The sequence below is a fragment of the Homo sapiens genome, chromosome 6 (genome assembly GCF_000001405.40).
Source record: "Homo sapiens chromosome 6, GRCh38.p14 Primary Assembly".
In the NCBI taxonomy this organism is placed as follows: domain Eukaryota; kingdom Metazoa; phylum Chordata; class Mammalia; order Primates; family Hominidae; genus Homo; species Homo sapiens.
The window spans coordinates 57,046,533-57,068,417 of record NC_000006.12 but is presented as its reverse complement, the minus strand read 5'-3'; the positions used below and the strand labels follow the sequence as shown (position 1 = coordinate 57,068,417).

Genomic DNA, 21,885 nt, shown 5'->3' with positions numbered 1-21,885 from the left:
CACAAAGGTCCCAGATATTAGAATCTCAAAGAACTCTTTTCTTTTCATGAGTGTATTATGAGAGTTGCGTGTGTGTGAGAGAGATTGTGTGTGTACTACCTGGGACATTCTAGCTTAAAGCAGCAAAAGCAAAACACAAGTCAGTGGGACACTTGTTTAAAGAATGTCTATGTGCAGCCAACAAATATCAGTCATAACAATCCTAAAGACATTCCTATTCAAGTGAAGGATAAAATAAACATATTTGTAACCACTACTATTATTTCTGAAGTCATAAGCAATGCTATCAGATAAGAAAAAGAATACTAGTCATAAATGTTAGAGGAGGTAAAATGATCATTATTTGAAAGAGAAACTTTTTCCTCTACCCAGAAAACCCACTTGAATCAAAAAAAGTAATTTGGACACTTAAAAAGGAATACATAAATATATGTTTTCTATATAGCAATAGTCAACTATAAAAATAAAATAATGTCCCATTTATAATAGCAACATGTAAAATAAGAACATATAAAATACACAGAAATTAAATTAGTAAGTGTGTAGGGCCTACCTGAAAAATGCAAATATTTACTAAGGAGAAAGAAAAAGTATATGTTAAGCTGACCTTGTTATTGGATTGAAAAAATAAGTTTTGTAAAGATATAACTTCTCCCCAGATTTGAAAATTACTTAAGTATAATTCCAATCAAAATCTTCAGTTTGTTTTTTTTTTGTTTTGTTTTGTTTTTGTGAGACAGAGATTTACTCTTGTTGCCCAGTCTGCAGTGCAATGGCGTGATCACGGCTCATCGCATCCTCCGCCTCCCAGGTTCAAGCAATTCTCCTGCCTCAGCCTCCCAAGTAGCTGGGATTACGGGCATGTACCACCATGCCCGGCTAATTTTGTACTTTTAGTAGAGACGGGGTTTCACTGTGTTGCCCAGGCTGATCTCGAACTCCTGACCTCAGGTGATCCACCCGCTTCGGCCTCCCAAAGTGTTGGGATTACAGGCGTGAGCCACTGCACCCGGCCAATCTTAAAGAGTATTTTAAGGGTGAAGGAAATTAGGGGAGACCAGTCAAAATGACTGTAAAACTTTTCTGGACTAAGGTATGAAAACAGTCAAAATATTCTTCAAAAAGAATATTGAATAATGATTAACTATCAGATGTTATAATTTATCACATATTTCTGGTAATTAAGCAGTGTAATGGTAGGATTAAAGCGATAATTTATTTCATTTCTCTCAATTTTTTATTTTGCTAAAATGAATAAAAATAAATTAGTAAGTCCCAAAGGCAGCAGTAGAGATTTTTCTTGGGTCACTATCCAGGTAATTAATATGACCAGGACTGTCTGGGATAGTGAGAAGTTGTATAATACTAATAACTACCATTTATGGAATGATTACTCCATGCCAGGTGCTGTGCCATGCATATTACATATATAAGTTCGTTTACTCTACATAACAGCTTTGTAAGATATTATCTAGTATTATATCCACTAGACATCTGAGAAAGCTTTGGAAGACAAAAGTAGGTGGAGAAGTAGTAATTTATTTCAGAGGGCAAAGGCAGCTAACCAGTCTGCCCCAGGGAACCTAGGAAGGACTCAGAACTATGACACCGCATACAATGAATGATGGAGGTAAGGTGCCACTTAACAGAAAGGCTGAAAGACTCCATACGCACATCTCCACATATCTACTCACAAGACATTCTCTGCATTAAGTTCAAAGGATTCACCCATGGCCCAGGACATCACATGCAGTTGCGAGCATCAGTGACAGCTGAAAACAGAATTCATTTTACGTCTATTTTTAACAAGTCAGTTCCAGCCCCCTTTTGTCTGTCCTCTATGCAAACATTATCAGCCAGGAAAACCAAGGAAACTTGTGAAGAACCACTTAGCATAAACCATAAGACTCAGTATCAGACTGTTATGTAGCTATCCCAACAAAACAAATGCCCTTCTACCCAATGACTCCCAGTGAAGCTTCCCAGGGAACAGGTTAAATAAAAAGTAGTTTTTAATAAAACTATTATTTTCAGAGGATAAATCAAAGGCATCCAGAGATAAGCATAGTATTAAATGAAAAAGGAAACAATCAGAAAACAAGAAACAGCTCTTGGAAATTTGAATTTTTTTCCTTTTTTTTTAGATGGAGTCTCACTGTTGCCCAGACTGGAGTGCAGAGTTGAGATCTTGGCTCACTGCAACTTCCATCTCCTGGGTTCAAGCAATTCTCCCACTTCAGCCTCCTGAGTGGCTGGGATTACAGGTATGCACCACCATGCCTGGCTATTTTTTTTTTTTTTTCAGTAGAGACAGGTTTTCACCATGTTGGCCAGGCTGGTATTGAACTCCTGACCTCAAGTGATGCACCCACCTCAGCCTCCCAAAGTGCTGAGATTACAGGCATGAGCCACCACACCCAACCAGAAATTAGAATAGCTGCAATTTTAAAAGGCTGGAAGTTATACATTTAAGGAAATTTCCCAGACACTGAAAAAAGAAATATGCATGGATTTTAATTGTAGTGAAAAGATAGGCCATGTATTCAGTCCACAACTGAATTCCCAGAATAACTGAAATTCAAAGATAAAAACTACAGAGGAGAAAATCATATAGAAACTACATAAAAATAAAATTTCTCTGAATTGAAGAATACAGGTATTCAGTTCGAAAGGGTCCATTGTGTACTTAGCACAATGAATGAAAAAGATGCACAACCAGCCTGGGCAATGTAGTGAGACTCCGTCTCTAGCAAAAAATAAAATGTTAGCCAGGTGTGGTGGTGTGAGCCTATAGTCCCAGCTACTTGGGAGGTAGAGGTGGGAGGATTGCTTGAGCCCAGAAGGTCGAGGCTGCAGTGAGGTGTGATCACACCACTGCACTCCAGCATGGGTGACAGAACAAGACTGACTCAAAAAAAAAAAAAACAAAAAAGGCAACACAACAGCCATTTTCATCAAATTCTAGTCTATCAGATTAAAACATTAAAACAGCCTCGAGGAGTATGGCATGACAGCTTCTGAATAAAATGAGAATCAGAGTTGCATTAGGCTTCTGATTAGCAACACCGGATATACCTCTTTGGTATGAGCACATTGGTAGGTAGCCTTACCCTCTTTCTCCTCCTCCTCTGAGACAGCAAACAATGCAACAAGGAAAAATTAGGAACAAAATATAGAAGATTAAAAAAAATTGCCCCATTTTTTTTCAACAAGTAGGTCACATAAATCTGCTGCAGAGTCAAAAGGAAAAGCAATTAAAATTAAGAAAATGCAAAGAGAATATCAAAGTCCCTTATGAACAGCAAATCTGAGAGTATCAGCAAAACGATACTTCCTGAAAAGGAGGAACTCACCAGGAAATGCAAAATCTTCAACCCAAAAATCTAACAACTGAGTGAGCACAGAGCTGTGGAAGCTGAGCTTCAGCAGAAGTCATGAGGATGGAATGCAGAGAGAAAAAGCACAGAGAATATCTACAGGGCTCTTAGCAGCACATCTCAGAAAGGTCCAGCAAAAACATACTGAGGTGAAAGGCTCACATGAAGATGCAGGTGCTGAAGGGCCTGGGGAGTGCAGGGCTGGTGACAGAAGCTCTTCCAGATTCATCTTGGATCAGAGAACCAGAGAGAACAGGGATATACACACAAAAATTTCCCAGAAAAGCCACATCTGCCAGAATCAGTGGTCTCTATGACAATAAATAGAAGGCTTTTGGAACATTTAAAGCCTGGAAGAAAACCCCCGGGCCTCCCACCATCCACGAATCCACCTGCAAACTGCTGGTCCAGGAAACTCCAAGTCACTAAAATATGTGTTCAAGAAATTCTGTGGCACAGCATCAATACAAAGATTTTGTAAGAAAAAATGTGAGAAAGCTGCAAAACTGGATGAATGCATGAAAAACATTCACAAGAAAAATGTTGTCATTGAAGAGATGAAAATGCTGACCATACATCTACCACAGAGTAAAATTCTTAATGAAATGTTCACCTCTATATAGGAGAACACACAGGCAGAACTCATGCATTAGTTAAGGTTTGTTGCAGCACTCTGGCTGCACTACCTTTGGACTGAAAATATCCTTCCTATTCAGAAAACACAAAAATATTCATGAGTTTATTTTTATTTTATGACTTCAACTTTTATTCTTTATTCCATCTTTAATTTTTTCTAGAATTTTGTTTGAGGTAGGAATACAACTTAAATTTTTCTCATACACCAACTATATATTTTGGAATGGGGAAATATGTATCTTCAAAGAAACCATTATGCATGCTTATTTGACTGGTAGAAATTCTCGGGTTTGATGCAGCACTGTTACACAGGGTGGAATCTGCATCAGCTTCTTCAGCAAGCCTGTTGCTCCCTTAGGGGAGCCCAGCAGTGTTACTGATGTCTTACACGGCACATGTCTCTGTGTGCTCACCACCAGGGAGGCTGCAGATTCTCCAACAAAATCCAATGCTGTATTTAGAACCTAAGGTGCTTTGTTTCAGGTACATATAATATCTTAAAAAGCAATTTTTTTTAAAAAAAGGGCCAATTCATAGTATTGTTTTATAGTACTCGAAATATTTGTAAGTTGTTTTTGTATCTACTAGGTGTTTTCGCTTAAAAATAAAAATTGTTAATAATAACTATTTTTATTTAGAAATAACATAATCTGCCAGGCACAGTGGCTCACGCCTGTAATCCCAGCACTTTGGGAGGCTGAGGCGGGCAGATCGCTTGAGGTCGGAAGTTTGAGACCAGCCTGGCCAACATGGTGAAACCCCGTCTCAACTAAAAATACAAAAATTAGACAACTGTGGTGGCGTGCACCTGTAATCCAAGTTACTCAGGAGGCTGAGACAGGAGAGTTGCTTGAGCATGGGAGGAGGAGGTTGCATTGAGCCGAGATTGTGCCACTGCACTCCAGCCTGGGGAACAGAGCAAGATGCCGTCTCAAAAAAAAAAAAAAAAAAAAAGAAATAACATAATCTATTAAGAGGATTCCAGCATAGAAAAAAGTTAAATTATTTTACATTTATCTCATGTGATTTTAAAAATACTTTTACTGGGAAAATTTTAAATACAAAGTAAAACAAACCCCTCCCTTCCACACACAAATACTCAACAACCAGCTTAAAAAATTATCCACGATTCTATCATTTTTCTGGTAATATTTGTTGATTACTTATTAAGTGTCTAACAACTTCCCAAGTCTGCTTTACCTCATTCAAGAATCCAAAAAATCAAGAAAGCTAGGTCAGAGGCAGAATAACTATGAAACTTAATTGAAGGGGTACCTTCCAAAAAAGGAACCACAGAAATATCTCTTCACATTTATATATTTTTGTTAAATTTCCAATTTTTTTTTTTTGGAGACAGAGTCTTGCTCTGTCGCCCAGGCTGGAGGGCAGTGGCGCAATCTCGGCTCACTGCAACTTCCACCTCCCAGGTTCAAGTGATTCTCCTGCTTCAGCCTCCTAAGTAGATGGATGGGACTACAGGCACATGCCGCCACGCCCGGCTAATTTTTTGTATTTTAGTAGAGATGGGATTTCACCATGTTGCCCAGGCTGGTCTCAAACTCCTGAGCTCAGGCAATCCGCCCACCTCGGCCTCCCAAAGTGCTAAGATTACAGGTGTGAGCCACCATGCTCGGCCACAAAAATATTTTTACCATAGTCAGTTAAGACTACCATCTGTTTCCATTTCAGCTGCACCTTCTGTGTACTTTCCCTTCCTGTTGTAACCATATAGTGGCAGTAGACATTTCTGAGCTCTTGTTAAGGAGTGACTGGGATATATTTGTGTACTTTGAAATTTCTTCCATGTATAGTTAAACTATTGCTGGCCATCTCAGTTGGGAAGTCTTCTAGGAATACTTTGAATGGTCAATTCAAACAATATTTAAGAGCAGTCACTCCACAGAAAATTGAAATGCTCTGAAATCTTGTAGTTCAGATGTGACTCTTAATAGGAGTTTCCCCACGTGATAATAATCCTAAAAATTATATTGATTAGTCACAGTTGAGAATTGGAAAGAAACCTATGTAAACTGTCAAAAATAAAAAAGCAAATTTCCATCAACTATGCTAGAGGATACTGTCAATTACCCTTCTATACCTCTACAGAAAAGGATATTACAGAATTGTCAAATGGAGACAATCAATGCATATAAAACCAAAAGAAAACTAGGGACCAGGCAGTAATCTGGCTCATGCCTGTTATCCTGGAACTTTTGGAGGCCAAGGTCAGTGTATTGCTTGAGCTCAGGAGTTTGAGACCAGCCTGGGCAACATGGTGAAAACCTGTCTCTATAAAAACACAAAAATTAGCCCAACGTGGTGGCACGTGCCTATGGTTCTAGCTACTCAGGAGACTGAGGTGGAAGGATCTCTTGAGCCCAGGTGGTGGAGGTTGCAGTAAGCCAAGATCGCACCATTGCACTTTAGCCTGGGCAACGGAGTGAGACCCTGTCTAAAAAAAAAAAAAAGAAAACCTAGGAAAAAATAATTAAAAATAATTATAGAGCTATAATTAATAAAAAGATCATGTCTTTTTCACCTCTATGTTTTGTGATATTGTTAACTTTTAAATATTGCGAAGATTGTAATTATTTATTTTCTTAATCTAAATAAATATTTCAAATAATTTCTAATGGTATATTCACAATTTTATGGGATTATTTTTCTTAGTGTGCCAAATTCAATAATCAACAGGCCCCATAAAACCTGAAACTAGGCTGAATGTGGGGGCTCACACCTGTAATCCCGGCATTTTGGGAGGCTGAGGCAGGATGAGCACTTGAGCCTAGGAGTTTGAGAGCAGCCTGGGCAACAGAAGACCCCGTCTCTACAAATAATTTAAAAATTAGCTGAGCATGATGGCATGTGCCTGTAGTCCCAGCTACTTGGGAGACTGAGGCAGGAGGACTGCCCAAGTCTGGAAGTTCAATGCTGCAGTGAGCCATGACTGTGCCACTGCACTCCCACCTGGGCAACAGAGTAAGACCCTGTCTCAATAGATAAATAAATAAATAAATAACTAGAACCGTTCAAGATGCAATTATTATCCTTGTTGAAAGATAGGTAAATTAATACTCAGAGATATCAATCAACTCTCCCAGGCCATCTTGATATTAAAAGGTGGAACATGGCCGGGCGCGGTGGCTCATGCCTGTAATCCCAGCACTTTGGGAGGCCGAGGTGGGCAGATCACGAGGTCAGGAGATTGAGACCAGCCTGGCCAACATGGTGAAACTCCATCTCTACTAAAAATAAAAAAATTAGCTGGGCATGGTGGCACGTGCCTGTAATCCCAGCTACTCAGGAGGCTGAGGCAGGAGAATCGCTTGAACCAGGAAGTTGGAGGTTGCAGTGAGCCAAGATCGCGCCATTGTACTACAGCCTGGTGACAGAGCGAAGACTCTGTTTCAAAAAAAAAAAAAAGGCGGAACATAATTTAAAATCACATATTTCAGGCCAGATGCAGTGGTTCATGCCTGTAATCCCAGCACTTTGGGAGGCCAAAGCAGGAGGATCACTTGAGGCCAGGGGTTCAAGACCAGCCTGGGCAACGTGGCAAGAGCCAGTTTCTATAATAAAAATAAATAAATAAATAAATAAATCACATTTTCAGTTCCCATTCAATAACAATTTTGGTTATCTGTTCATAATTTTGGTTAATTGTGACCCTGGCAATTGACTAAACCTCTTGAAATGTCAGTTTTATTACCTACAAAACAAAGAGACCCTATTAGATCATCTTTAAATTGCCCTTTCATAACCAGGCCAGTGGCAGCTACCTTGACCTCAGCAACAGACGGAGGGCACAGACTCATTATAACCTTAAACTATCCTGAACAAAGTGGGGAGCCAGTAAAAGCTTTTCAGTAGAGAAGAAATATGTTAGACTTCATAGACCAGCTAACCAACCACCCATTCCCAATTCTTTCTCCCTTGCCTACTTCTAATACAGAAGCTATGAAAGGTAAAAGCTCACATCCCAACATTCCCTTGCAGTGAGTATGGCCATGCTGACACAGTTCTGGCCAGTGAAATATAAGTCTGCTTGGAAAAGCTTCTGGCAAAGCTTTTGACTTTCTGACGAATACACAGGGCTTGATCCAGGTCTTGCCATGTTGTCTTAAATCGAGCATCCCTAAAACTGTGCCAGGCATCCGGCAATTATGAGGGAAAGACCAAAACCACCCCAGATAACACAACAATGACACTATTGAGCTACTCAAGCAAAGACTGTAGCCATCTCTAGATTTGCTATACAAGATTATAAATCTGTTTAAGTGATTTGACTTTCTTGTTGTCTGAATGTCTTCCTAATAAAAGTTATCTAAAAATAAATGTAAACTTTAGAATAGTCAATCCTTAGTATGAAGGATATATTAGTATTAACAAGGGGCAAGAATGAAGGCAGAGAGACTTGTTAGAAAGTTATTATATTACTCTAAGCAAGAAAAATAATGACTTGAACCAAAATAACTACAGTAGGAGAGGTGAAAGAGACAGGGCAAGGTGGATGAAGAAAAGGTTTCAAATATCTTCTACCTTTCTAGTTTGAGCATCAAGGGAAATGGTTGGGCCATTTTTCAAAACAGATATGATGAGAGATGAATAAATTCAGCTTTGGACCTATTCAGTTTAAAATGCCTACGGAACAACAATGTGAAACTGATGAAAAAGACAGTTGACTATGGATCCTGAAGTCAACAGTAAGGTCTAGATTGATGAAACTTGGTTTTGAGAGTAACTATCATATAGGGTAGTGCCGTCTAATACAACTATACTGCAAGCCACATATGTAATTCTATTTTTTTTTTTTTTTCAGACAGAGTCTCGCTCTCGCCCAGGCTGGAGTGCAGTGGCACGATCTCGGCTCACTGTAAGCTCTGCCTCCCGGGTTCACGCCATTCTCCTGCCTCAGCCTCCCGAGTAGCTGGGACTACAGGCACCCACCACCACACCAGCTAATTTTTCGTATTTTTAGTAGAGACGGGGTTTCACCGTGTTAGCCAGGATGGTCTCAATCTCCTGACCTTGTGATCCGCCCACCTCGGCCTCCCAAAGTGCTGGGATTACAGGCATGAGCCAGTGCGCCTGGCCCACATATGTAATTCTGAAATAGAAATACAATGATTATTTTATTTAACCCAATATATCCAAAATAATATTTATCAATTTATAACATATTATCAATTTATAACATATTATCAATATAGTTATTAAGTGTGATAATTTGCATGTTAAGTCTTTAAAATCTAATGTGTATTTCACACCTAAGGCACATCTCAATTCCTGTTTTCATCATACTTGATTTGTATATACATTTCATAAAATTCACAGATGACAAAGTAGACTCACAAACCCAATTGTTCCAAACATAGCTATCATTTTATTTTATTTTTCATATCCACACTGAAAAAAATCCCATTCATCTTTTTCAAAATAATTGATTTGACTTTGGACCAAAAGCATATAAGTTTGAAAACATTTGCCTAAGTTAGGTAAATTCAATAAATCTTATGTAAGCTCAGTACTGTTAACACTGACTTCGGAGTTACTGAGTATACTGAAAAGCAACCCTAAATTTAATCAATAAAGCATTTTAAAATTTTTTCTTATTTTTTACAGTAAATTTACATGACATCAAATACAATGAAAACTTCAAGCATACTGACTCGTGTTAGAAAAATGAGTAAAATTAATCTTACTGATTTTTATTTTTAGAAGTTTTGATTTCAATATAAACTCTAGTACTTGTCTAGGACAGGCACAAGTAAGCTTTTTCCTATCCTTGGAGCTTCAAATTTGGATCATTCATATGCCATAGGATATTGGGTAGAAAAATTAAACTGCCATTTTTGGTCTTTGATTATTAAATATCTGGCTAGCATCCCTGTTATTGGAAGAAAATCTTGGAGTTAACAGTACAGTAAGTTTTGTAGAGCTCTTCCACAATATGACCAACTGACAGGGTATATAAGATCACTAAATTCATCTCTTAATTCTTTCCACAATCCTATAAGCTGGTGTTGATTTGTACCATGTGCACTTATACAATGAGCACTTAATTGAACCCAACAAGTGACAATTTGTTGTAGAGACCATTTAAAAATCTGAGCATAAATATTTTCAAACCATATCATTTAGTGGAATGAAGAAATAACAGAAACATCAAGTTTGTTTTAAAATTCTAATGAAATCTAATTTTTTTTAACCTAACTTAGCTGGAGTGCCATTTATTGTGACAGAAAATGTTTTTTTTTTCTCATCTAGCTGAAACTGTTATAACACACGCAGAGATTTTAAAAGCTGCATGAGATGGGCGCGGTGGCTCACACCTGTAATATCGGCATTCTGGGAGGCTAAGGCGGGTGGATCACTTGAACCAGGGAGTTCGAGGCCAGCCTGGGCATCATGGGGAAACCCTGTCTCTACCAAAAATACAAAAACTAGCCGATTGTGGTGGCATGTGCCTGTAATCCCTACTACTTGGGAAGCTGAGGTGGGAGGATTGCTTGAGCCTAGAAACAGAGGTTGCAGTAAGCCATGATCATGCCACTGCCTGGGCGACAAAGCAAGACCCTGTCTCAAAAAATAATAATAATTAACATTTAATTATTAAAAAAACAGCTGCATAAATTTGTTTTTTGTTTTTTTTTGACTTGGAGTCTTGCTCCGTCGCTCAGGCAGGAGTGCAGTGGTGCGATTTTAGCTCAGAAACCTCTGCCTCCCAGGTTCAAGCAATTCTCCTGTCTCAGCCTCCTGAGTAGCTGGGACTACAGGCACCTGCCACCATGCCTGGATAATTTTGTATTTTTAGTAGAGGTGGGGTTTCACCTTGTTGGTCAGGCTGGTCTCGAACTCCTGACCTCAGGTGATCCACCTGCCTCGGCCTCCCATAAAGTGCTGGGATTACACGTGTGAACCACTGCACCTGGCCATAAATTTGACTTTTGGGGCCATCAATTGAAATTATTTCTTCATAATTTTTAAGTCCTATGAGACTCAATGTAGTGTGTTACTTGGGTAGTTTCTCAAATTATGAAACTGTTCTAAAACTACAGAAATGTACTTATGATTTTTCAGATTTAGAATCAATTAATCTTTAATATTGCTAGGTCCTATATTCTAATAGCAATTGTTTGGTGCTTAACTAAAGGCCTTGTACTTTTTTTTTTTTTCTGAGACAAAGTCTCGCTCTGTCGCCCAGGCTGGAGTTCAGTGGTGTGATCTCTGCTCACTGCAACCTCCGCCTCCTGTGTTCAAGCGATTCTCCTGCCCTAGCCTCCCGAGTAGCTGGGACTACAGGTGCATGCCACCAGGCCCAGCTAATTTTTTGTATTTTTAGTAGAGATGGGGTTTCACCATATTAGCTAGGATGGTTTCGATCTCCTAACCTCATGATCCACCTGCCTCGGCCTCCCAAAGTGCTGGGATTACAGGCATGAGCCACAGCACCCAGCAAGGCCTTGTAATTTTTAATAAAACATCTTATTTAGGCTTTTATTCATAATTTTCTAACAATTTCTTCAACTGAAATAATTTCACATTTATCCATTTAAAACTAGTTCTCAGCCAGGCATGGTGGTTCATGCCTATAATCCCAGCACTTTGGGAGGCCAAGGCAGGAAGGCTGTTTGAGCCCAGGAGTCCAATACCAACCTGGGCAACATGGCAAAACCCCATCTCTACAAAAAGATATAAAAACTAGCTGGGTGTGGTGGCATGTACCTGTATTCCCAGCTACTTAGGGGGCTGAGGTGGGAGGACTGCTTGGGCCCAGGAGGAAGAGGCTGCAGTGAGCCACTGCAGTCCAGCTTGGGTGACATAGCAGGACCCTCCCCTCTCCCATCCAAAAAAAAAAAAAACCCTAATTCTTTCATGCAAGAATCTCAGCTATTTTGCTGAGCATGGTGGCTCACTCCTGTAATCCTAGTACTTTGGGAGGCTGAGGCAGGCGCATCACCTGAGGTCAGGAGTTTGAGACCAGCCTGGCCAACAAGGTGGAACCCCGTCTCTATAAAAAATACAAAAAAATTAGCTGGGCATGGTGGCAGACACCTGTAATCCCAGCTACTTGGGAGGCTGAGGCAGGAGAACTGCTTGAACCCAGAAGGTGGAAGTTGCAGTGAGCCGAGATTGCACCACTGTACTCCAGCCTGGGTGACACAAGACTCTGTCTCAAAAAAAAAAAATTAGGCAGGCGTCGTGGCACACTCCTGTAATCCTAGCTACTCGGGAGGCTGAGGCAGGAGAATCACTTGAACCCAGGAAGTGGAGGTTGCAGTGAGCCAAGATTGCGCCATTGCACTCCAGCCTGGGTGACACCACAAGACTCTGTCTCGGGAAAAAAAAAAAGAATCTCAGCTATTTCACATCTGGCCAAACTTACAACCTTAGTTCCTTCTAAAATTGTTTTTAAAAACTCTTGTTAATTCTGATTTTAGGTGACTAAATTTCATTGATTCTTTTTGGCATATGAAATATAATTTACCCAATTCATTTTGCATCTGCTGAAGTCTCAATTTTCCTACTTTGTTTCTTAAATAGCAGCTTGTTTTGCTCTGCCACAGCAAACTGCAATTGCCATTCATTGTCAAATCTGCAACATACCTTCTTTGAGTCTGTTTACTGTTCCAGTTGTACTAGGTTCTGCATCGCCACTTGATTCTTTTTCAGTATGCCTTCATTTTAAATTTAAAAATTTGCTCATATTCATGTGTAAACTAGAAAAATAATTTAATCATGATTAAAATAAGTATTTCAATTACCAGTTATAATTTACACAGGAATCACTGTAATTCCTGTTGTCTGCATAAAATATTCAGATAAACATGATGTTACATCAATTTGTAGAAAAAATAACTTGCATTGAATCCATCTGCTGACAGCAGTATCATATCTATCAGCAATATGTTTATATTCAATATTGGAAATGACACACAAGTTTGACAGGCACACTACAACAACCATATCTTATGCAAGGTAACAGAGTAAAATGTATTACTGAAAAACAGTAAAGCTAAGCAGAAAAATATTTCACATTGTTTCAGTTTTCATATTTAAGTAAAAGTAAATAAATAAAAATTTTACTTTTAGCCCTAAGCTGATCAGCCACATGTAGCTAGTGGCTACCATACTAGATAGCACAGATATGGAAATGAGAAAGACAAGAGCCAAAAGGCTTACAGTTTTTATTCCATTTCTCTTTTATTTAATATAACCTCCAGGGCTTAGAACTTAGCTGAGTCCTGCTATTTTTTGCATCCTTACTTAAAGTAAAACAGTACAAAATTATAAACGGTGTTTGTTCTGTACAGAACTTCATGGAATATGTATTATGACCCACTCTAGCAAACATGGGCCAATCTCTAAAAAACTATAGCTTCTAAAACCAATCTTCAAGATTATCTTCTTAAAGAACGCCTTTTAAACAGCAACATGCTGATAAAAGTTTAACTGGCTTTCCAAAAAAAAAAAAGACCTTTATGTATATAAAGGATGTGTAGTACATAATTTACAGATGACAAAAAACGTATACAATATTCTATTTTAAGTTCCATATAGCCAATTGATTCTCATGGAAGACTTTTGTTGACTTTTGCCGAACTCTTGTATCTGTAGCCAACCTGTGGTTGCAATTTGACCAAGATTTTACAAACGGTGTTGCATCCCAATCTGCTAATTCTTTCCCCAGTAAATTTATTGTCATTAAATCTGATACATGATCTATTGTTAAACTATTTCTCACCCTTGTACAAATTATGTTCATTAAATTGAAACCCCTTTCAGCTTCAGCACTATTGATTGCAATGGTGCTAACTATCTTTTTAGCTTTGTATATAGTTGTAGGAATTGAAACATTGTTTGATTTTATATTATTATTTACAAATTCCCGAAAATCATTCAAATCAACTTCATATTTTAAAATTTTACACAAATGAAATAATGTTTTTTCACCAGCTATCCATGGTGAAGTTATTTCTTCATAAGGCCATGTGGAAGGTTCCAGCAAATCAAAGTAATTAAAAATATCTTCATGGTTTCTGTCAGATAAAAGGCGTAGGTTCATGTGCTGAATTATATTGTCTAGTAATATACTCCTAGGAAGAGCATTAAATTTATTGTTTTTATTAAATGGAATATCTTTAAACTTATCTGACTTGATCAAATCTTCAATTTGAGATTCATACTTTCCAGTACCAATTTTTAAATTTTCCAAAGCTCTTATGGTACGTTTGATCAATTTTTGTGCTTTCTTAATATTAGTTGATCTTGACTGTAATGCAGTTGAAAGTACTGAAAATTCTTCAAGAATGTCAATCATTAAAGCAAGGTCTTGTAAGAAATTAATGTTAGCTAATCTCTTCGCCAAACCAGAGTAAGAATGAGAAAAATGCATATATAATATAGGATATGCATGCCATACAGCAGTAGCAGCTTGTAAACTACATGCCGCCCATCTTGGTCCCATTACTCGACCAATTTTAATAATTTCAGTTTCAAGTTCTTTAGCTACAGTTCCTAGAAGCTTGGTTTGATTTTTATTAGGTTGATGATAAATAGAATAAATTTTATCAATAAATATTTTTAAATGATTAATTTGTTTTATTTCGGATATAGAATCATCAAGTGACAATTGTAATCGATGATTTAAACAGTTCCAAATGATGATTTCAGGAAAATTTTCTAACAATTTTGTAGCTACTCCAGACTTTCTTCCCAGGATTGTATTAGCACCATCAGAACAAAATGCAATTAAATTTGCTTTCAAATATTCATTTGTAAAACCACAATCATTTAAAGTAGTCAATAATGTATTGACAATACACTCTGCTATAGTTGACACCAATTCTTTTAAAGCCACAAATAACATAACAGGTGCAGGAGCTGACTGAATTGTGCACTGGAGATAAATCACTAGGGTGGTTTTCTTTGAAACTGTAGATGCCTCATCAATTATGATACAGATTTTGGCATTCTCTTCTATAATATTCTTAAATATCTTCATCTTCATTTCTTTTGCAATATGTTCTGCTATTCTTGTTGCACTGTAACGTGTATTTAAACAATTTACCTCTCCATTTTTTTCCTGTAATTCTCTTGCCCCCTCAATATCAGATAAAGGTCTGTTATGTTTTACTAAACTGTAAACAGTATTGAAAACTTTTACAGTAGCATCAATATTTTTATTATTTTGTTTATGCACTAAATTACAAATTGAATCATTAGTTGATTCCTTTAACAAATCCTGAATTTTACCATGGGCTTTAGAAACATCATGTTCCCTAATTTTTTTTCGTAGAGAAGCTTGCCTAGTAGTTTTATTACTGCCATTAGGGGTTACTAAATATGCAATCCATTCCTTGGACACATGGACATGCTTTTCTGCTTTCGATCCCAAATGCCGAACTGCTGAACAATCCTTACATCCTAATTTACCTTCTTTTATTTCAAGCCATTTGTATTGTTCTGTAAACATAAATGCTTGTTTTTCATTCCAACAATCTGGAAGCACAAGATTATCTATTTCTTTCTTTGATGAAAGTGATGGCTTTTCTTCAATGATTGGTTGTTCAATATACTCGAAATGTGGTTCCTTTGCCTTAGACAATCTGCAGTGATTTTTGCTCACTTCATTATTTTCTGTGTCTGTTTTCACCTTCTTCACATTTAAAAAATGCAAAAAATCACCCTGTCGTTTTGGCATTTTAGGAAACAGAATCTGAAAAATAATTTTACATATGTAAGTAAAATTCATAACACTTTAAGGGTCAATGTAAAAAGTTCTCTTAGTGATTATCTAATTTTGGAAATACATTTTAAACTTAAATATTTAACCTGATTTTCAGTTTATATCTATAATATCAATATGACTTGCTATTTCTTGAAAAACCCACTATTAGTTTTTAAAATTCTACAACCAACAACAGTTTCACAAAATTTGACTATGAATTATCATCCAATTAGCAAAATGGTTGGTCATATGTTTCGCAAATGAGTATGCTATTTGCACCTCCCCATACCAAAATCCTCCCATGCTCAAGTCCCTTGTATAAAATGAAGTATTTGCACTCAACCTTTGCATATCCTCCTCTATACTTGAGGTCATTTCTAGATTATTTTTAATACCTAATATAATATCAATGCCATAAAAGTTTTTATAATGTATTACTTTTTAATGTGTTTATTATTGTATTTTTATTATTTAAAAAAATATTTTCCATCTACAGTTGGGTGAATCCACGGATGTGGAACCCACAGTATATGAAGGGCTGACTGTAGTAGCAACATGAAGGGTGGATAATATTTTCAATTACATTAATGAATAAGATGAAAGTGAAACAATAAAGACATATATTAGAGTTTCGCTCATTCATCAATGACATCAACATCTTTCCGAACTAATGAAGAGTTTAAAAAAAAATTTTTTTTTTGAGACGGAGTCTCGCTCTGTCACCCAAGCTGGAGTGCAGTGGCGCGATCTCAGCTCACCGTAAACTCCACCTCCCGGGTTCAAGCAATTCTCATGTCTCCGCCTCCCAAGTAGCTGAAATTACAGGCACGTGCCACGACACCTGGCTAATTAGTTGGGACTATAGGCATGCACCACCACGCCCGGCTAGTTTTTGTATCTTTGGTAGAGATGAGGTTTCACTATACTGGGCAGGCTGGTCTCGAACTCCTGACCTCAAGTGATCTGCCAGCCTTGGCCTCCCAAAGTGCTGGGATTACAGGTGTGAGCCACCATGCCTGGCCGAGTTTTGGAATATTGCAAAGCAACTTCCTCAATTTTTTTGTATTGCATTTAGTCTAGCAGAGACACATCACACTTTGAAATTTAATCTGCATTAACATTCTATCCTTCACTTTCTTAAGTTTAATCAACAAATAATAAATCAAATTCTAGTTTGTATTTTACTGATTACAATGGGGTAATGTTCTATCAATACTGCAGCAGGACACTATTATGTATTAATAGTATTTCTACCAATAGATGCAAATAACCTCAAGTGCACAGATAGTAGGAAATGATGTATTAAGTAGGAAATGATGTATTAAATATGATCATTTATGTACTTGTGCATTTATATACTTTAATTTGTAATAACTGTTATGTTTACAATCAGCTCACAAAATTCCTGAAAGTTTAACGATTAGATTTTTTTTTTTTTTTTTGAGAAGGAGTCTTGCTCTGTTGCCCAGGGTAGAGCACAATGGCATGATCTCGGCTCACTGCAACCTTCACCTCCCAGGTTCAAGTGATTCTCCTGCCTCAGCCTCCCAAGTAGCTGGGATTACAGGCATGTGCCACCAAGCCCGGCTAATTTTTTGTATTTTTAGTAGAGATGGGGGTTTCACCTTGCTGGCCAGGCTGGTCTCGAACTCCTGGCCTCAAGTGATCCAACCGCCTCGGCCTCCCAAAGTGCTGGGATTACAAGCGAGAGCCACCGTGCCTGGCCAACAATTAGTTCTTATGATCCAGTTCAAGCTACCACCAACACACTATTGCACTTAATAAGAAAACTGAACAAACACAAATATAATGTGCTTACATCACTATAATAGGCGCTAGGGTTTTCATCATCACCACAGACCAGATCGATGTATTCAAGAACAGGTCTCGATGGTCCTTCCTAAAAAGGAAGTGGGCAAATTTACAAGTCATGAACAATCATTCCAATTAAACTTAAATTTAACAATCAGTGGGAGATTTTTTTAGTTGGAATTGGGAAAGATTCTCGAGAAAATCTTGCAAGTGGCACAGAATAATTAGAAACAAAACGGGCAAAGGGGCTGGGAGCAGTGGCTCACACCTGTAATCCTAGCACACTGGGAGGCCAAGACAGGAGGATCACTTGAGCCCAGAAGTTCAAGATCAGCCTGGGCAACATAGTGAGACACCAACTCTACAAAAAAAAAAAATCAGATGGGTACGGTGGCTCACACCTGTAATCCCAGCTACTTGGGAGGCTGAGGTGAGAGGATCACTGGAGCCCAGGAAGTTGGGGCTACAGTGAGCTATAATTATGCCATTACACTCTAGCCTAGATAAAATTTAGAGCAAGACACTGTCTAAAAAAAAAAAAGAGGCATGGGAAAAGAGTCAGAGTACATGAATACGTAATACTGTTCCTGCTAGTAAAAAGGAAAAAAAAAAAAACATAATAATGACAAAACCCAAAGAGCCTAAATCTATATAGAGGAATAAAGCCATGTAGATTCCTTTCAAAATGGGAAATAGCACAGATATTGATTTAAAAAGATACAGATTTCAGTTAGGCACAGTGCCAGTCTCAGCTGCTCAGGAGGCTGAGGCAGGAGGATCACTTGAGCCCAGGAATTCAAGTCCAGCCTGGGCAACATAGTGAAAAACCCACCCCCTGGCCCTACCTCATTAAAAAAAAAAGATAACAGATTTCATAGTACAATTTTTTTTAACTGAAATGATTATCAGTAATCTCGAAGTTCTTTGATAACCCTGCTTTATCCTCCACATCACTGTACAGCCAAACATCAAACTCTGAGTCTTCTTGATCCTTTCTTTACATATACACTACCCTCATCATAGACCAGGCCATAAATGCCCTAGTCAAAATCCTAGATTTTATTCTGTAGGCAAAGGAATCAATAAATAACATCAAGATGGGAACATTATTAGAGCTGTTTCAAGAAGGTTAACCACATAAGAGAGCATGTGGGAAGAATACAAACAAGATAATCAATCTAGACAAATGGTAATGTGGTACAAAAATAGTGATGGCAAGGAGGAAGTAACCTTCCCTGTATAGGTACTATATTTCAATAAAATTTACATTAAGATAAGGACTCTTTTTGTATCCCCAAATCTTTTATCATTCCTTTCTTTCAGCATATTGTTTATTTTGGAGGCTAGGTACATGACAGAACACAAAGAGGATTCTGTGCCACAACGCAGAATGAAGGCTAGATAATCAACATTTATATGAAAAGACTAAGGAATCCAAACCAGAATATATCAAGAAGTAACAAACTTTTTTTTCTTTTAATCTGAAGAACCCACAAGCAGAGAACTATACCCAGCAGCATTGCATCTTTACTGGATGGTACTATAAAAAACACAGAGAAATAAGCATATCCTGGTAGAGCCCAGTATAGGATGGGGTTACAAAGGAAAGTTGTCTCTGAGTGTATTTCAAAGTGGAATTAAGTTATCATTGTCTTTTATGTGGCACCACTGAAATGCAACAGGGATGTTTTACTACATTCTTTCTGGTACTGCAATTACACTGACAGCATGTAATTCACTTCTCCATATAAGAGCTGTCAAACCTTTGATCTTCTATTTTGAACAGGGTTAAATATAAAGGGTTCTATCACGCTGGATATACAAAATATTGTATGAAAAGATGTAGAAGGATCTTTATATTTAAAATAAAATTTAAAGTAAGAGTTTTAAACCTCAGCTAAACACAGCCTATATATTAACTCACAATTTAAAATATAATGATTTATTCCTCAGGATATTACACAAATCTATACCTATTTACTTTTCCAAACTTAATTTTGTACATCCCATCTGTGTTTCTCAACGGCACATGGATCATGAATCAGACGTATGTCACTTCTACATACTTTCTCAATGGCACATGGATCATCAATCAGACGTGTGTCACTTCTACATACAGATGCACAAAAAACTCATCAAGATCATCTGTCCCAATCATTCCTGTTTTTATACCAGTTAAGAGGAAACCAAAATTATTTTTCCTAAAGACCCATGAACTCCTCTTCCCAAATGTTTCTCGTTACAAAAACAGAAACCATTGCTCTTTGATTTCAAGTTACGTTGCTTACTCCATAACAACAGTGAAGGCAGAGTCAGCATACAATCTCCCTTGGTATCATCAATATTTAGAAAGGTTCCAAATGTCAGGAACAAAATATACACACACTATTAATTGGGAAATATGTCCAGAAAGTGACAGGGTAAAGAACTTATACACAAAACACGAAAAACAAACAACGATGTTAACAAAACAATGTTTAGGGAGGAAATTTTAATTTAAAAAACAAGTGACTTACAAAGTCGCCCTAAACCTACAAAAACTAAAAAACACAGAAACATTAGACAGACACTCCATTAAAGAAAAATTCTACAGCCTGAATACCAAACTGCAACTAACTACGGCATTCCAAAAGACGAGTTGGGGACAGAACTGTTTTCTGCCTGGCGAGCTGAGATACCACTTTACGCAAAGCCTTTCTAAAACTCCAACAATTATGGATGAAAATCACCCCAAAATATATCATAAAACACTCCCTTCTGCTTTAGAAACCCATTCTGTCCAAAGTGTGCTCAGAAATCCTTATGTCCCTGCACTTGTCTGAAAATGAAGATTCCTAGGCCCCCGCCTGGAAATTCTGATTCGGTAGGTCTGCAGTGGGGCCCAGGAATCTGCCTGTTTATACTTACTAAGGCTTGAAAACTACTGTCTCAAAGGGAACAAACTCAGAAAAATAGAGCATGTTCCCAGTGATGTAGGATTCTTCATTATGAGCATCAACTGTACTATGCCGTAACATGATGATCTCAGAGGTTAGAGAAATCTTCAAGCTATTTGCCTTCATGTTAGAAGCACCATAACGCTAAGATTCTGGGCTCTCACAACCCTTCCTGTTTTCTACGTCCTTGCTCATCATTAGCAGCTCCTTCCTCCGTGTCGCCTTTAGAAGTTACTCTTGCTCCATTTCAAAACAGCGTTTTAGACACCAGCGTTTTTATCTTAAGTTTAAATGAAAGGCAGGGGGCGAGATTAAGTGTACAGCACGTTCTTTAGGACGTGCTCTTTGTGATGGCTACGGGGGTGGCTCAGATAGCTCTTTTGGTAAATTTCCCAATCCTGCGCCATGCTCCAGTGTCTAGTATGTATTAGACACTCATGAACATTAAATGACCAGGTGAGGTAACATTACATAATGGCCCACCATAGTCTTTTACTCTGGGAAAACCCCAATCATCATTGCTACTTACACTGACAAACTGAATGTCGTCTTCATTTTCATCCGTTGTTGACTCAGATGCCTCAGGGCCAGCTGGAGGGACAGATTCTATTATCTATAAAAACAAGCCAAAACATGCTTATCTGTTCAGCCACATTCGTGTAGGAAGAGAGCGTTTCCGAAAGGAACAATTAAAGACAGAGAGCTCTTGAGGAAAACGAACTGAGCACAATTTCACGGAAACCCGACTAGGAACGGAACTCGAGCTCTGGCTCTTGCCACAGAGTGTGCGGAGCTGCAGGGACCCAACGCTGAAAACGCGTTAGTTACCAGCCTCTCACAATTCCCCTTATCTACTCCAGGAGGAACGCAAGCTCAACACCGAAGGGCAATCCTGCCTTAAAACGTCGCTCCCACTGGCCCAGCCGCGGCCACAACGAACGCCAGGGCCCGTGCGGGGGGCCGGGCGGCCATTGTTGCTGCGGGTTCCTCGCTCAGACACGCACCAGGCCCCAGAGCTGGGCTCGGCCCAAGACACTGAAGAGGTATCGCCCCGAGGCTGCGACGGAGCACCAGGCCTCAGACCGCAGAAAACACAAACCCTTCGCGGTTCGCCTCTGAGAACGCCAGGACCCTCACTCGACTACTCACTTCCGACCCCGGGTCTCCCATGTCTCCGACGGCCGCGCTGACAGCACCACTGCTCCTGCTGTCCCTACTGCCGCAGCCGCCACCACTCCCCTTCCCGCCCTGCACCGCCTCGCGCTACCGGGACCCGCCCCTGCGTGAGCTGGGAGGCCACTGGCGGAAAGAGACGAAAACCGCTTCAAAAGAGGGGCAGCCCTCACTGGTCCGCTATCTCCCCGGAGCCTCTTTCTCTCATTCCCGGGCTTCC

The 21,885-nt window shown here is 38.7% G+C and overlaps 1 protein-coding gene across 7 annotated transcripts, besides 1 other annotated feature; it reads right to left on the bottom strand.

Moving 5' to 3' along the window:
- Nucleotides 1-1,519: 1,519 nt before the first annotated feature.
- Nucleotides 1,520-21,725, bottom strand: KIAA1586. Of its 7 annotated transcripts, XR_007059283.1 has the most exons (7): nucleotides 21,642-21,725; nucleotides 21,022-21,105; nucleotides 17,564-17,644; nucleotides 15,450-15,732; nucleotides 12,621-12,733; nucleotides 9,041-9,120; nucleotides 1,520-1,772 (listed from the first exon to the last, which is right to left on the bottom strand). XR_007059283.1 is itself a non-coding variant. In XM_011514767.3 (5 exons), the coding sequence occupies exons 1-5, from the start codon at nucleotides 21,660-21,662 to the stop codon at nucleotides 12,723-12,725; spliced, it is 480 nt and encodes a 159-aa protein (XP_011513069.1). In that variant the 5' UTR covers nucleotides 21,663-21,725; the 3' UTR covers nucleotides 9,374-12,722. The 7 variants fall into 7 exon arrangements, 5 of the variants coding, with proteins under 5 accessions (XP_011513069.1, NP_001273205.1, NP_065982.1 ...); XR_007059284.1 differs by lacking the exon at nucleotides 9,041-9,120; XM_011514767.3 differs by lacking the exons at nucleotides 1,520-1,772; nucleotides 9,041-9,120 and having other exon boundaries at nucleotides 9,374-12,733.
- Nucleotides 20,260-21,137: an enhancer, noted in NCBI's record as "H3K27ac hESC enhancer chr6:56912079-56912956 (GRCh37/hg19 assembly coordinates)". NCBI's record gives its function as "activates a minimal SCP1, AML or CMV promoter by ChIP-STARR-seq in naive H9 embryonic stem cells {active_cell/tissue: H9 hESC(naive)}" and the evidence as "EXISTENCE:reporter gene assay evidence [ECO:0000049][PMID:30033119]".